Source organism: Homo sapiens, chromosome 1 (assembly GCF_000001405.40).
Source record: "Homo sapiens chromosome 1, GRCh38.p14 Primary Assembly".
NCBI classification, from domain to species: Eukaryota; Metazoa; Chordata; class Mammalia; order Primates; family Hominidae; genus Homo; species Homo sapiens.
The window spans coordinates 154,600,685-154,616,980 of record NC_000001.11 but is presented as its reverse complement, the minus strand read 5'-3'; the positions used below and the strand labels follow the sequence as shown (position 1 = coordinate 154,616,980).

Here is a 16,296-nt window from a genome sequence, read left to right as displayed (position 1 = left end):
GTATTCCATATTGGAAAGTTCAGCCCTCCTCTGAGATACCCATTGTCCACTAGAACTCCAGACAGAAGTGCTGGAGAGGGCAGTGGGCCAGGTCAGGAAGACATAAGCCAGAGTTGAAGTACAACAGTGGAAAGAACAAAGTCTTTGGAGCAGTGCCTCTTAACCTTCGTTCTGGGTACACAGATCTATCTGGGAGTCTGAAAGCTATGGGCTGTCTCTTGAGGGAAATGCGCATGTTGCGTTTTTCAGTAAATATTTTTGAGCACGCTGAAAGCAAAACACTTGTATAGCCCTAGCTTCTTGGAACTTGTAGTAAGAGAGACAGATATTTACCAAAAAACCACATGAAGAAATGTAAAATTACAAGTGTAAATATGCTCCAAAAGAGAGGAGGGGGTCTTGAAATCATGCGATGGGAGGGGGTAGGGGTTAGAGCTCAAGCTCTTCCTCCAGAAGTGTTGACTACCCTGAGATCTGAAGGGCAAATCATAGGATAGTGGAAAGGAGGAGAAATAATCCAGAGAGAGGGGCAAGTATGTGGCAGGAGGGAGCATGGCAATCTAGAGGGAGGAAAAGAAGGCTCAGGGAGGCTGGGGGACAGAGAGATGGGGCATGGTCCAACAGAAGGGAGAAGGATGGCAGGGCTAGGCCACGTAAGGCTTTGGAGCCATCGTGTAAAGATGTTTGCCTTTATCTTAAGAGCATTAGGAAGCCATCAAAGTATTTTTTGTTAATAATGTAAATATTTGATATGCATAAAAGATTCCTGCAGCATATATGTATCACTGAAATACAACAATGAAACGAATGCACGTGAACCTAACACCTTCCCCTGAATGAGAACCTTATCTGTATTGCTGAAGCCTCCCTTGTCGCCTCTTGGATCCCATCTGCCTGTGTTCCCCCTCCCCCCTTAATTGCTAGGTTAGAATTTTCTTGAATTCCATGCATGACATGATCAGATTTTGGTTTTCAGAGATCACACAAGCTGTGTCGAGAAGACTGGATAGAAAAGAGGCCAAAGTACATGCGGGGAAACCAGTTTGGAGGTTGTAATCACAAAACACAATCTTACTAAAAGTTTGTCTGCATTTTATTTTATTGCCTTGGAAATTTATTTCTTTCACAGATGATTTATTTTCATCATTTTAAAAATATAAATTAATGGTATCTTCCTAGAAAAAAATAAAATCAGATAAAACTAAAAGCTCTAATTCTGTTGGACAATAATGAGAAGGCTGTACTGTTTGGCTTAACTAAAAAATGTGGTGAGGCATGGTGGCTCACGCCTGTAATTCCAGCACTCAGGGAGGCCAAGGCAGGCAGATTGCTTGAGCCCAGGAGTTCGTGACTGGCCTGGGCAACATAGTGCGGCCCTATTTCTACGAAAAAAAATTTTTTTAATTAGCCAAGCATGGTGGTATGTGCCTGTAGTCCCAGCTGCTTAAGAAGCTGAGGCAGGAGGATTGCTTGAGCCCAGGAGTTTGAGATTGCAGTGAGACATGACTGTACCACTGCACTCTGGCCTGGGTGACAGAGACCTTGTCTTTTAAAAAATAAATAAAGGACATCATGGCTGTGCATAAGTACATCTATGACAGCTAGTCTGTTTTGGCCTTTTCCCTTTGATGTACCCAAATGCAGAAACTCCTATCTCGCCTAGCAAAGCCTCTGGCAGCCCTGGACTTGGAGCTCCCTGGTTTGTATTGTCCAGCAAAGATGCTGTAGTAGTTTCCCGTGGCTGTCTGCTGTAAAAAAATAACCACAAACTAGGTGGCTTAAAACAATGGAAATTTATTATCTGACAGTGCTGGAGGCCAGAAATCTGAAATCAGTATCACTGGGCCATGTTGGCAGGGCTGTGCTCCCTCCAGAGGCTGTAGGGGAGAATCCATTCCTTGCCTCTCCCAACCTCTGGTGGGTGCTGGCATCGCTTGTGTTGCGGCTGCGTCGCTCTAGTCTTCAAGGCTAGCATCTTCGAATCATTCTCTACTCTGTCTTCACATGGCCTTTTCCTCTGTGTGTGTAGGTGGAAATTTTTTTGAACTTGCCAACACTAAAAGAAACACTTTTAAAGACCAGTGTTCACTTGAAAATGGCTCTCTGTCAAATTCCAAGAAAACCAGTTCACTGAAAGTCAGTTCTACAAAAGCCCCTCCATCCTACCCCTTTGCCTCCTCAGTTTCCTCCTCAATCTTCTGCTCTACAGCAGCAGGGAGACAGCAGAGCATATTTCCTCTAAATTCTATTAAGAAGACAGAATAAAAACTGGTCAATTAAGACTAGGGAGATTTAAGAAAAAAGTAAATGCAACATATTGGTTGTTTCGTAAATTGGTTATCCAAGGAATTGACCATTTGGCAAACTGACTTTCGGCAAATTGGCTGTTGGTGAAATCAGCCTATTTCCCTGAGAAACACTGCAGAAGGCAGGGCAGTGGCTGCCTTGAGCCTGCCCAGGACAGGACTGTGACTGTCCCCTCCTGCTTTCTACAAGCCATGGAGATAGGGGCATTGCTCTTGCATGAGGCTGGGGCTGAGAGCAGCCCCCTACAGGCTGGATCTGGATCCTAGGGAAGAAGAAGATGGGAGATCTCCCCCTTTGGGTCCTGACTCAATAGAACCCAAATGTAGGCCAGTAGCGGAACCTCTGTGCTAGCCAGAGTCAGGCCAGAAGTCAGTCAGGTGCTGCATCCAAGAACAATCTAGCATCGGAGAAGCGGCTTAAGGGTGTCAGAATATAATGTATAAAACCACAAGTTGTATAGGGTCACCCCGTGGGGTAGTTATCCGACTGAATGTACATTTATTAGTTATACATACTTGCAAAAGATTGCACACAGGCCTGTTAGTCATTATTATTAGTATTATTTTACATATGTAATATTATTGCAAATGTTATATCTTTATTATATAATACTTAAGCCTGGCACATATAGCTAGTTGATAAATACCACTTTTTTTCTTTGTTACTAGATAACTTACTGGAGTGGATAAATGCACTTAATAGCTTTTGGAGACCTCTTTTTCTTCTGGGGGTACCTGAGGCATTTCTTGCTTTCTTTTTTTTTTTTTTTGAGATGGAGTTTCGCTCTTGTTGCTCAGGGTGGAGTGCAGTGGTGCGATCTCGGCTCACTGCAACCTCCGCCTCCCAGGTTCAAGTGATTCTCCTGCCTCAGCCTCCCTAGTAGCTAGGATTACAGGCATGTGCCACCACACCCGGCTAATTTTGTATTTTTAGTAAAGACGGAGTTTCTCTATGTTAGTCAGGCGGGTCTCGAACTCCCGACCTCAGGTGATCCACCCACCTCGGTGTCCCAAAGTGCTGGGATTACAGGCATGAGCCACCGCGCCTGGCCACATTTCTTGCTTTCTTGTAACTTCAAAAGCCAGTTTTAGCTGGGAGCAATGGTTCACGCCTGTAATCCCAGCATTTTTGGAGGCCGAGGCAGGCGGATCACCTGAGATCAGGAGTTTGCGACCAGCCTGGCCAACATGGTGAGACCCCACCTCTACTAAAAATATAAAAATTAGCCAGGCATGATAGCGCGTGCCTGTAGTCCCAGCTACTTGGGAGGCTGAGGCAGGAGAATCACTTGTACCTGGGAGGTGGAGGTTGCAGTGAGCCGAGATCATGCCACTGCACTCCAGCCTGGATAACAGAGTGAGATTCTGGCTCAAAAAAAAAAAAAAAAAAAAAGCCATTTGTGATCATTAACATCAATAGAATATATGTCAGCATAAATACTGCCACAGAGCACTACTCAGCCAGTTGGGCAACTCACTCTTCTCTACCAAAAGCTTTACAGGTTATCAAAGCAAGTGGGTTTACTGTGGGAGGCTACTGTGAATTTTGGAAATTAATGTTGAGGGACTAGCGCAGTGGCTCACACCTGTAATCCCAACATTTTGGGAGGCCGAGGCAGGCGGATCACGAAGTCAGGAGATTGAGACCATCCTGGCTAACACGGTGAAACGCCGTCTCTACTAAAAATACAAAAAATTACCCAGGCATGGTGGCATGTGCCTGTAGTCCCAGCTACTCGGGAGGCTGAGACAGGAGAATCACTTGAACCTGGGAGGTGGAGGTTGCAGTGAGCTGAGATCGCACCACTGCACTCCAACCTGGGCAACAGAGCGAGACTCTATCTCAAAAAAAGAAAGAAAGAAAGAAAATTAATGTTGTTAGGAACTGTTGTAGTGGAATAAAAACTCAGTGATAAAGAATTGAGGAGAAACAACGATAACAAAAAAGGAGGGCAATAAATTTGTGCCTAGCAACTCTGAATTGCTTACTATACATTTCCTAAGAGTTATTCTAAAATGATGCCCTGGTACTTAAAAATAACTGAGCAGGCTGGGCGTGGTGGCTCACACCTGTAATCCCAGCACTTTGGGAGGCCAAGACCGGCAGATGACGAGGTCAGGAGATCGAGACCATCCTGGCTAACACAGTGAAACCCCGTCTCTAATAAAAATACAAAAAAATAGCCGGGTGTGGTGGCAGGCACCTGTAGTCCCAGCCACTCGGGAGGCTGAGGCAGGAGAATGGCGTGAACCCAGGAGGCGGAGCTTGCAGTGAGCCAAGATTGCACCACTGCACTCCAGCCTGGGTGACAGAGCCAGACTCCATCTCAAAAAAAAAAAAAAAAAAAAAAAAAAACTGAGTAATTTATTACTTTCTTTGATAATATGTTGCAAATTGTTTAGAATACATTCACAGGCAGTACATTTCTGTCCCAGTATCACTGTATGAGCAAATACTGAAGGAGTTTGCAGACATCTGCTTTACAGTAGACAGGAGATAGATGTTCCAATTGGATATAGCCCATGTGTGTAGTAAAGTCTGGTTATAGGAAATTACAGATTAAAAAAGACTGTTGTTGTAAACATGTATCCCTGCACGCAGTAAGGTTAAACAGAAGATCCACAACAAACCAAATTAACAATTACTAAGTCAGACTAACAGTTACTTATAGTTAAAAAGCAAGAATAGCAGGGATTGGAAAACAAAACCAACTCAGGAGCCCTGATAATAGCATGTCCTTTCCTATAGGTGGGGAAGTCTCACCCCCTGAATGCACCTATAGAGCTAGAGCTTGGCACTGCTATGTGGAAGCCAGACTTCTGAGAATACTGAGTTTCTGAGTACTTCATTTTTAGACAGTAACTCTTAATCATTTAGGTGGTTTTTAATAAGTAGACCTAGGTGGTATAGATACATCTGGGGTCATTTCACAGGCCCCTGGGGAGGTGAGCCATTCTTTATAGGAAGAGCTCCTCCCTTGAGAGGACTGACCACCCATGTGTTGGCAGTGCCGTTACGCACGGGGAAGTTACGCACAGGGAAAATGCTCGAAGGGTAGGCACGGATGAATGATGAATTAACAATGGGTGATTTTTATTGTGTTTGCTTGTCTGTATTTTCTGAAATAAACCTATTATTTTTGGTTAATTTTTTTAAAGACTTTCATCCAACTCGTCAAGTTCCTACAATAGAACAGTTAAAAAAAAAAAGACATCATCACCTCACAACCATGGGGGAGTTAAAACAATTACTGAGGGGGAGGAGATGAAACGTTTATGAATAAGACTGTCTGCAGTTACTTGAGCTGCTAAGATTAAATGACAATAGGAGTTGTTGTTCTTTCAAGGCATAAACTGACCTTCTGTTGAGGAAAGTTCACTGCTTTGCCACTGTGTCCTATGTTAGATTAAAAGGGGTGGGGGGAGCAGCGGTGCAGCTTCCCTCGCACAGTAGTTGTGATTAAAGCTTTTCTGGATCATTTCTGAAGAAGGGTAAAGGCTTTCAGATTGTCTTGCCTGAAGACAAGAAAGCAGAGGTAAGATATAACTCCTGTTACTTAAACGGAGGAAAAAAAACATGGGGAAGTGGACTGGAATTGCAACAGCAAGAGTTTGTTGTGGTTCTTGTTTGTTTTTACCTTTTAAATTTGTGAAATACAGCATATATATACAGAAACATGAATAAAACGTAAATGTATAATGAAATTATTGGAAAGCAAACATATGTAGCCACTACCCAAGTCAAGAGCTAGAACATCACCGGTACCCAAAAGATTTCTTCCCAGTCAAAACTCCCACCTTTCTCCCTAGAAGTGATTAACCACAATTTTGTCTTTTTTTTTTTTTTTTTCTTTTTTTTTTTTTTTGAGACGGTGTCTTGCTCTGTCTCCAGGCTGGAGTGCAATGGCACAATCTTGGCTCACTGCAACCTCCGACTCCCTGCTTCAAGCGTTTCTACCACGTCAGCCTCCCCAGTAGCTGGGACTACAGGCACACGCCACCATGCCCAGCTAATTTTTTGTACTTTTAGTAGAGATGGGGTTTCACTATGTTGGCCAGGATGGTCTCGATCCCCTGACCTCGTGATCCGCCCACCTCGGCCTCCCAAAGTGCTGGGATTACAGGCATGAGCCACTGCGCCCGGCCTCATTTTGTCTTTTATGCAGAGCATACTATAGTTTGGTTTTGCCTGGCTTGGGACTTTCTGTAAGTGGGATCATATAGTATACATATGGCTTTTCCCACTCAGTATCATATTTAGATAATTAGCTACCTTGTTGCATGCGTAGATCTTTCATTTTTGTTGCTGTATTGTATTCCATCATGGGCATATGCCACCATTTATCCATTTTACTTTTGATGGACATTTGGGTTGTTTCCAGTTTGGGGGCTATTAATTACAAATAATGCAACCATGAACTTCTTGGGGTTTACCATTACCTTTCTAGATAATGGTAAACTGGTTTCCTGTAGTGACTAAGAGCTGCTCTGCATCCTTGCTGCCACCTGGTCTAATCAGATGGCTAATGCTGTCTGTCTGGTGAATGGACAGTAGCTCACTGTAGCTATACTGTGCATTTCTCTGATGTGATGGGGTTGAGAACCTTTTCATATGTTTGATATTTTTTATCTCCTGTGAAGTTGTCTTTCGATTGTTTTTGCCCATTGTTATACCTACTGAGGGGTCTGTTATTCTTTCAACTAACCAGCCCTCTGAAGGCGAATATAAGGATACAAAACATGCTTCCTGCCCCCGAGGAGATGACTTGACAATTCTAGAGGCAGATATATGAACAAGAAGTACATGATAATTGTGATTACTGAGGCATCCATCTTCCCTAGCAGACTAGCTAAAGGATGGCGCTCTTATTTGTGTCATATCCTGGGTGCTTAACACAGTATCTGCCACATAATTAGGTGCTTAGTAAAGTTTTGTTAAATGATCGAATGGGGCGTTTTTAGCGCAGTGTGCAAGTGCCCTATTAGGGGTAGGCGCCCAGTAACTCGAGAAGCATGGAGTAGGAAACCACAAACAGCACCTGCTCCCCCTCCTCTCCCCCTACCTGCTGTGGGGAAGGCCTCCCTTGTAAATTTGAAAGGTTGATTCACGGGAAGCCGTGGAGGAGGTGCATGCTAGGCCAACGAATAGAATGTGCAAAGGCCCAGAAGGAAGACAGAGCCCAGCCTGCAAGGGAATGTTAATTTGGAGTGACTAACACCATGAAAGGGCATCAGCTGGAGATACTGCTATAAAGGGACTGCCTTGTAATTTCATAAGCATGGGGGTAAAATTAAGATTAAACACAGGGAAAGAACATTCTCACAGGTGAGGATGGTGTTGAACCCTAGAATAATCGTTTCCCAGATACCTTGAACAAAAATCCAGCAGTTAGAGAAGCCTGACCATGAAGCAAATTTGACTTTTGTCCCTCTAGATAACAAAAGTTATCTTTTTGAAAGTAATGGTGTAATTTGAATGAGTGTAGAGAAGCGCTGAAGACTGAGCTTTACTAAAGCCTTCAGACCTGGATTTGGCAGCAGCGTGGCCTTAGTCAAGCCTCGGTTTCTACACCTGCAAAGTGGGAATAATGCCTACCTTGGAGGGCTGTTGTGAAGATTAAGGGAGATAATACATGTAAAGTACTTAACCATTTGCCTGGTGGGGTAGTTTTTATGACCTAGATCCTAAATTGTTCACTGCTGCTGTTGCTACTCTTGGTACTTTTTACTGGCTGGCATCTGCTTGCTTAAGTTTATAACATAGTAGGAGCATTAACAAGGTCCCACGGTGGGGACCTTGGTCGTTTGACGAGATCTGCGCTCCCGCCCATCCCCTCCCCCCCCCCTCCACATTGGAGACGCGGCCACCACCGCGCTGGCGCGGAGAGAGGGAGGACCGGGCGTCATGCTGTTTCTGGCCTGAGGTTTTGTGTGCCTTTGTTTTCCTTTTGCTCTATTCGTGTATTCCTGCCTACGGCCTGTGCGGGGAATTAGGAGCTCAGTACTGAAACGGCGGTTTTCCTAAACAGTACCGGACGGGCGCGGGGGCTGACGCCTGTAATCCCAACACTTTGGGAGGCCGAGGTGGGCGGATCTCTTGAAGCCGGGAGTTCGAGACCACCCTGGCTAACGTGGTGAAACCCTGTTCTTACTAAAAATACAAAAAAAAAAAAAAAAAAAAAGCCAGGAGTGATGGCGCTCGCCTGTAATCCCAGCTACTCCGTAGGCTGAGGCAGGAGAATCGCTTGAACCCGGGGGGCAGAGGTTGCAGTGAGCCGAGATTGCGCCATTGCACTCCAGCCTGGGCAAAAAGAGCGAGACTCCGCCTCAAAAAAAAAAAAAAAAGTACCTTCCGTAGTTCTCATGCAGCGGAGGGGTTCGACTTGTAACCGGCCTGAAACCAAGCGTGGCGCAAGATTTGCTCAAGCCCCTCCTCTTGGCCAAACTTTCCGGAGGGGAAGGCTTTCCGAGGAAACGAAAGCGAAATTGAACCGGAGCCATCTTGGGCCCGGCGCGCAGACCCGCGGAGTTTCCCGTGCCGACGCCCCGGGGCCACTTCCAGTGCGGAGTAGCGGAGGCGTGGGGGCCTCGAGGGGCTGGCGCGGCCCAGCGGTCGGGCCAGGGTCGTGCCGCCGGCGGGTCGGGCCGGGCAATGCCTCGCGGGCGCAATGAATCCGCGGCAGGTAAGCCGGGCCGGCCTTGGACCTTCGCCGCCGTCTGGGTTCGTTTACAACCTCACAGGCTTTGTGTTGCAGTGCGTAGCGTGTGCGTCTTGTGAGTGTTAGAGTGTGTGTGTGTGTGTCGTCTTGCCAAGCAGCATTGCTGGTTTAGGAATTTGTGCGTCTTGTGAGTGTGTGTGTGTGGGTGTGTGTCGTCTTGCCAAGCAGCATTGCTGGTTTAGGAATTTGTGCGTCTTGTGAGAGTGTGTGTGTGTGTGTGTGCGTGTGTGTGTAGTCTTGCCAAGCAGCATTGCTGGTTTAGGAATTTGTGAATTTGTATCCTGCTCATTAATTCTGCAGAATGGAGCAGTGCGTGAAGAGGGCTTGGGGGAAAATGCGCCCCCGTCTGAGTAGGAAGGCCTGAGCCCATGTCAAGGCAGACACATCGTCTCCCTTTCTGCTAGGGCCCCTTGTGGAACCCCCTACCCCCGCTTTAGCCCCACTTGAACAACGTTCGGACTTTGAGCAGCGCACACTATCCTCAGCTCACCTTATCCACCTCCTGAAGGCCTTCTGGGAGTTAAAAATGGCACTTAAGCTGTAGGAGAAAGCTTGTTAACCACTTTATAGCTAAAAACTGGGAAAACACAAATGGCCTTCAGCAGGTTAACAGATAAACTGAAATACATCCACATAATGGGATACTGCTTAGTAGTGAAGAGGAAATACTGTTACAAGTAACAACACGGGTGACTCGCAAGTGCGTTATGCTAAGCACGAGAAGCCAGACTCAAAAGGCTGCATACTGTATGAGTCCATTTATATGACATTCTGGAAAAAAAAAACCACAGTTATAGGGATGGAAAGTGGATCCGTGGGTGCCAGGGACTGGGTATCGTGGAAGAAATTGATTGTTGAGTGGCATGAAAAAGCTTTTTAGGGAAATAGAAATGTTCTATATCTTGATTGTGGTGGCGATTGTCGAAATTCATAGATTTATACACTTAAAAGGATAAATTTTACTGTATCTAAATTATATACCTCAATTTTGTTAAGATATATATATATTTTTTTTTTTTTAAGCACTCCTTTGAAAGGATTAAGGACGCCTAACTTGAAGGAAAAGCATTTCTGCACAGGTGTCAGTGTATTGCACTGTGGAACCTGTGTGGTAAAGGCAAAGGGGGTAGTGCTTATCTCTTGATCCTAAATATGTGAGACCAGATTAAAGTGAAATCTGGGAGGCAATGAATGTTAAATGAGTTGTTATGTAATTTGCATAGAGGTGATGCTGAGAGATTTAGAAAGGATCACTGTGGGTTGCTTGCTCACTTTCTTGCTCTCCTATTCCGTAGCTTTCCAAATGGCTGTACTCAACGGTGGCTTGGTGTTTAGGGGATTTAAGGGGGGCAAAAAGAAAGATTAATAATCTCCTCCTCTCCCTCTAACCCTACTGCCCTAAGATATCCTTAGCAAACTTACATCTCCTTTCTTTTCTCTGTGTTCATTCCATTGTGCGCACACATACACATTCATGGATTTTCTCTTTTTGTTTAGGGAAAAAAATTATAATGTACATACTATTCTACAACTTTTTGTTGTTTTATTGAACATTATATGATTCCTAAATTATCCCCAGGTGAATACAAATAGATATGACACATTTTAAAAAAATAAAATAACTGGCCGGGCGTGGTAGCTCATGCCTGTAATCCCAGCACTTTGGGAGGCCGAGGAGGGCGGATCAGGAGATCGACACCATCCTGGCCAGCATGGTGAAACCCCATCTCTACTAAAAATACAAAAATTAGCTGGGTGTGGTGGCGTGCGCCTGTAATCCCAGCTACTCCGGAGGCTGAGGCAGGAGAATCACTTGAACCCGGGAGGCGGAGATTGCAGTGAGCTGAGATCACACTGCACTCCAGCCTGATTGCAGTGAGCCGAGATCATGCCACTGCACTCCAGCTTGGCAACAGAGCGAGACTCCGTCTCACAAGAAAAAAAATAACCGTGTGAGTACTATTCCATAGAATGAATGTTTCATAATTTAATTCTTCTATAGACAGACATTAAAATATTTTCCAGATTTGGGCCAAGAGTAGCAGTTTAAAAAACATTTAGCTTTTAACTGACTCTAGCCACTTTGAAACACAATTTTTTTTTCCCAAGGTCACTCAAAGAGCTAATAGGAGAACCCCTAAGTCCCATAATTCAGCTCTGGGAGCCAGCACTCACTCTGTACACACATTTGCCTCTGTCCCTAGCAATATGGTGGGCGTGAGGGTGCAGCAAGAGGAACAAGAAAGAAATGATTGCTTGCATAGTGGCGTCTTGTTCATGCAGTCATTAATTCAACAAATGTTTGTTGAGAATCAGCTTTGTGCCAAGTGCTAGAGAGGTTGAGATGATTGAAGCATAGTCCTTGACCCCCAAGAGCTCACCATGGAATCAACTGAAGCCCCTCATCAGTACTGTGTTGGGAATATTGAGAGTGGAGAGTTGAGTATAACTTATAGGACACCTAATGTTAATTACCTTTCAGACACTGCAATGTGTGTGTGCCATAAAAAAAAAAAAAATCCAGTAGCTCTGATACGAGGGAAAGTAAATGGTTTAACAGGTGCTGAGTAGGAGAAGCTCAAGGAGAGGAAACCCCAAGGGCTGAAGAAGGTGGGAGTCAGGAGTCTCCTGAAGCAAGTGGCATTTAAGGAGCTCTATAAGGAAAGGGTCAGAGTTGTGATAGGTGGCTGTGGAGGGAGATGTGCCACCTGGATTGGCATGTAGAGGGATAGAAAGATTATAGGCCTTTGCAATGGCCCAGTAAGAGGTAATGAGGGGCTGGAACTGGAAGAAAACACATTTAAGACACAGTACAGAGGTGGCAGACAAGGTGGGACTTGGCAACTACCTGATGAGATCCAGGAGATGAGGCCAGGAGGCGGGCAGCAAAGATGACGCAGGTTTCTAGCCTTAATAGGCTAGGAGGAGAGTGATGCCATTAGCAATAAGAACTACAGGAGAAGGAGCTGAGTTTGAGGGAACTATTAATTTGGTTCAGAATATGTGCTGTTTGAGTTATGGCAGGATATTTAAGTGGACAGACTGTCGACATAGTTGGAAATTCAGATCTTAAGCTCCCACACAAGGTAGTGGCTGGACATAGTAGATTTGAGTGCTCTTGCTTCAGAGGGCTAGTTTAGGTTGGGGCAGTGATTAAAGCAACCTAGGAAATAAATTATAAAGGAAGAAGAGGTCCTTAAAACCTTGGAGACTGATTATATAAAGGGTGGATCCGTTAATACAGTAGCTATTAAAAAATTATAAGGGGTGGGAAAAAGGGACAAAGAAGAAAAAAGAGGTGAAAGACCTTTGCTGTGTCACCAAACCCTGGGAGGAGAATTTTTTAAAAGAAGAGTACTCAATCCACAGTGAACTAAGGCATGTTTGTTAAACACAATTGACCACCACACAGCGAAGACCCAAATGAGGTTCAAGAGAAGGAATTTTTATGGACCCTGTTAGCACAAGTCAAGGTCCTTCTCCAGTACCACTGGGAAGCTTTGGAGAAGAAAAGGGGGACAGTGGGCCTTGGGTGGAGAAGGGAACTGACCATGAGATCCAGGTGGGGTGAGGAGGTGTGTGAAGTCAGAGTGGGGAAGAATCAGGGTGGCTTACTGGCAGCTTCACCGGGGTCATGCGAGGAGCAGGTTCCACCAGAGTAAGGAGTGAAGTTGTAGAAACACAGGGAAGTCACCATCAGAAAAGAGCAGGAGTCAAGAAACTATGGCCCACAGGTACAAACTACCTGTTTTTATAAATAAAGCTTCATGGTAAATGAATTGTAAATAAAGTTTTGCATATTGTGTGAGGCTGTTTTTGTGCTACAGTGGCAGAGCTGTCTGGCCCTTTATAGAAAAAGTTTATCAGCCACTGGAAAAGAGTTGCAGGATTTGAGGTCTTGGTGTGATGGCCTAGGTTAGAGTCATAGTGAGATTGAAGGAGTAGCTAGACAAGCCAATTGTGTGGCAGAAAGGTAGGGATGGAGATCACTGGGTTAAGGATCCTTGTAGCCAGGACACCATGAGAGTGATTGACAAGAATGCTGAAATCCCCTAAGTGTGTCAGGATGTGGAAGAGTAGAAGGCTAGAGTTATGGAAGAAAGGGTCCCACCTCTACCTGTGCAGCCTCCAGGAGAGTCTGAGGAGGGGGCGGTGAGTGTGAGTAAATGTTGTCAGAATCCCTCCTCCCAGTCTACAAGCCCCAGGGAAAGGAAGCAAGGTGTTTACTGACACCCCCAGGCTTATAAGTACTTCCTGGCTCCATCACCCTCCAGTGAACAGCCCTGGGGAGAAGACAGTACTGGTTTGCAGGTGGGTGGGTGGGGAAAGGGGTCACAGGTGCTTGGTGTTCTGGTAAATGTGCATATGAGAACATGGGGTTGCTTGTGCCCTGTCCGTCAGGGTTCAGAAGAACGTGCAGTGGAAGCAGCTATGGGGAAGTAGCTAGGGAAGGTAGGACTGGTCTGAGGTGGTGAGGAGCAGATGCTGCCAGCTCCACACATCCAGGAGAGCCTGGGTGGTTTGGGCAAAAGTCTCTGGCATCCCTTCTGAGCCTGGGTACCACACTGAAGAGTGAGGACAGTGTGCCATTTTTATCAGGAAACCCTCCAGCTCCCTGAAGACCAAATTCTGATCCTCCTGGGATGGCAGTGAAGAGCCACAGAGATGACTCTGAGGTCCCGTGGCCTTTTCCCACCTGGAGATTGTTTTCGTTACTGCGCTGTTACAGCCTTGGAGGACTGGGGTTCAGTTTCATCCAATCACATTTCTTCTTTTGTCATAGTCATCTAAACGATAGATCTTAGAGACAGGTGGGCAAGGGGTGCACTGGTGAGCCTGACTTAAGGAGAGGTCATCTCGTCCCTTCCCTAGTCCCATCTCCCTTGGTTATTGTTATTTCATGTGATTGTTCTGGTTATTTCAGGTTATTCTGTTTTTGTTTTCAAAACAATAACATATATTTGTTGTTCTGATTTTAAAGGGGTAATTGTTTTGGTAACTAGAAAATTACCTTCTCAACTCCCTTAAATTCTGTCAAAGGGAAAAGTAAGTTAGGTTGCTGGAGAGGCTATGCTGAGGCCTCAGAACCTCTGTATTCCTGGAAGTTCTGCGTGCTTTGCCTCCTGCTCCCCTCTCTGTGTTCCTGTTGGCAGGCCCCTAGGCAGGATTTAGGAGGTAGGCAAGTCACCCTAGCCAAGTCATAAGCCCATGGCTCAATTGCCTTCTCAGCCCTTCAAGGGCTGTTCCACAGGCAGCAAAGGGAGGGGCCTCCACAGGTTCACCACTGCAGCCCTAATTCATTTTCTTTTTCCACTGTCTTATTCTGCAGGGGTATTCCCTCAGCGGATACTACACCCATCCATTTCAAGGCTATGAGCACAGACAGCTCAGGTACCAGCAGCCTGGGCCAGGATCTTCCCCCAGTAGTTTCCTGCTTAAGCAAATAGAATTTCTCAAGGGGCAGCTCCCAGAAGCACCGGTGATTGGAAAGCAGACACCGTCACTGCCACCTTCCCTCCCAGGACTCCGGCCAAGGTTTCCAGTACTACTTGCCTCCAGTACCAGAGGCAGGCAAGTGGACATCAGGGGTGTCCCCAGGGGCGTGCATCTCAGAAGTCAGGGGCTCCAGAGAGGGTTCCAGCATCCTTCACCACGTGGCAGGAGTCTGCCACAGAGAGGTGTTGATTGCCTTTCCTCACATTTCCAGGAACTGAGTATCTACCAAGATCAGGAACAAAGGATCTTAAAGTTCCTGGAAGAGCTTGGGGAAGGGAAGGCCACCACAGCACATGATCTGTCTGGGAAACTTGGGACTCCGAAGAAAGAAATCAATCGAGTTTTATACTCCCTGGCAAAGAAGGGCAAGCTACAGAAAGAGGCAGGAACACCCCCTTTGTGGAAAATCGCGGTCTCCACTCAGGCTTGGAACCAGCACAGCGGAGTGGTAAGACCAGACGGTCATAGCCAAGGAGCCCCAAACTCAGACCCGAGTTTGGAACCGGAAGACAGAAACTCCACATCTGTCTCAGAAGATCTTCTTGAGCCTTTTATTGCAGTCTCAGCTCAGGCTTGGAACCAGCACAGCGGAGTGGTAAGACCAGACAGTCATAGCCAAGGATCCCCAAACTCAGACCCAGGTTTGGAACCTGAAGACAGCAACTCCACATCTGCCTTGGAAGATCCTCTTGAGTTTTTAGACATGGCCGAGATCAAGGAGAAAATCTGCGACTATCTCTTCAATGTGTCTGACTCCTCTGCCCTGAATTTGGCTAAAAATATTGGCCTTACCAAGGCCCGAGATATAAATGCTGTGCTAATTGACATGGAAAGGCAGGGGGATGTCTATAGACAAGGGACAACCCCTCCCATATGGCATTTGACAGACAAGAAGCGAGAGAGGATGCAAATCAAGAGAAATACGAACAGTGTTCCTGAAACCGCTCCAGCTGCAATCCCTGAGACCAAAAGAAACGCAGAGTTCCTCACCTGTAATATACCCACATCAAATGCCTCAAATAACATGGTAACCACAGAAAAAGTGGAGAATGGGCAGGAACCTGTCATAAAGTTAGAAAACAGGCAAGAGGCCAGACCAGAACCAGCAAGACTGAAACCACCTGTTCATTACAATGGCCCCTCAAAAGCAGGGTATGTTGACTTTGAAAATGGCCAGTGGGCCACAGATGACATCCCAGATGACTTGAATAGTATCCGCGCAGCACCAGGTGAGTTTCGAGCCATCATGGAGATGCCCTCCTTCTACAGTCATGGCTTGCCACGGTGTTCACCCTACAAGAAACTGACAGAGTGCCAGCTGAAGAACCCCATCAGCGGGCTGTTAGAATATGCCCAGTTCGCTAGTCAAACCTGTGAGTTCAACATGATAGAGCAGAGTGGACCACCCCATGAACCTCGGTAAGAGACCACCCAGGAACTGTACCTAGGGTTGGGGTCAGGTGCTTTTGCTCCTGACGCAGTCTTGGCTGATTTGTGAGCAGTGCTGTTTGGTGGCGCCTATCTTTTCCTCCTTCCCTTCTGCCTTTTAGCTAAATTCCCCTTGATTGGCCCTTTCTCCAGATATTGAGCAGGGAATATAGACCTTGGACCAGCCAGAATCTTGGCTGAACAAGGGGGAGGTTGACTCTGTTGGCTGTAATGAAGCTTCTTTAGAAATGATTGGTTTTGGCCGTACGCGGTGGCTCATGCCTGTAATCCCAGCACTTTTTGAGGCCGAGGCAGGCATATCACGAGGTCAGGAGTTTGAGACCAGC

The 16,296-nt window shown here is 46.0% G+C and overlaps 1 protein-coding gene across 16 annotated transcripts in view, besides 4 other annotated features; it reads left to right on the top strand.

Annotated features, from left to right (window-relative positions):
• ADAR (adenosine deaminase RNA specific) overlaps positions 1-16,296 on the top strand; it is a 45,941-nt gene that overhangs the window by 11,017 nt on the left and 18,628 nt on the right. For 6 of the 16 annotated variants that reach the window (XM_047428340.1, NM_001365045.1, XM_011509061.3 and 3 more), the window contains exon 2: positions 14,355-15,940. In XM_047428340.1, coding sequence (XP_047284296.1) covers positions 14,355-15,940 — 1,586 coding nt within the window. Of the gene's footprint in view, positions 1-8,183; positions 8,231-8,794; positions 8,990-10,727; positions 10,976-14,354; positions 15,941-16,296 lie in introns of those variants that run through there. The other 10 variants (NM_015841.4, NM_015840.4, NM_001111.5 and 7 more) reach the window with 6 other exon arrangements.
• Positions 6,696-6,775: an enhancer, noted in NCBI's record as "active region_1781". NCBI's record gives its function as "activates an Ori minimal core promoter by ATAC-STARR-seq in GM12878 lymphoblastoid cells {active_cell/tissue: GM12878}" and the evidence as "EXISTENCE:reporter gene assay evidence [ECO:0000049][PMID:35858748]".
• Positions 6,859-7,852: an enhancer, noted in NCBI's record as "OCT4-NANOG-H3K27ac-H3K4me1 hESC enhancer chr1:154581605-154582598 (GRCh37/hg19 assembly coordinates)". NCBI's record gives its function as "activates a minimal SCP1, AML or CMV promoter by ChIP-STARR-seq in naive H9 embryonic stem cells {active_cell/tissue: H9 hESC(naive)}" and the evidence as "EXISTENCE:reporter gene assay evidence [ECO:0000049][PMID:30033119]".
• Positions 8,522-8,911: an enhancer, noted in NCBI's record as "active region_1780". NCBI's record gives its function as "activates an Ori minimal core promoter by ATAC-STARR-seq in GM12878 lymphoblastoid cells {active_cell/tissue: GM12878}" and the evidence as "EXISTENCE:reporter gene assay evidence [ECO:0000049][PMID:35858748]".
• Positions 8,912-9,021: a silencer, noted in NCBI's record as "silent region_1364". NCBI's record gives its function as "represses an Ori minimal core promoter by ATAC-STARR-seq in GM12878 lymphoblastoid cells {active_cell/tissue: GM12878}" and the evidence as "EXISTENCE:reporter gene assay evidence [ECO:0000049][PMID:35858748]".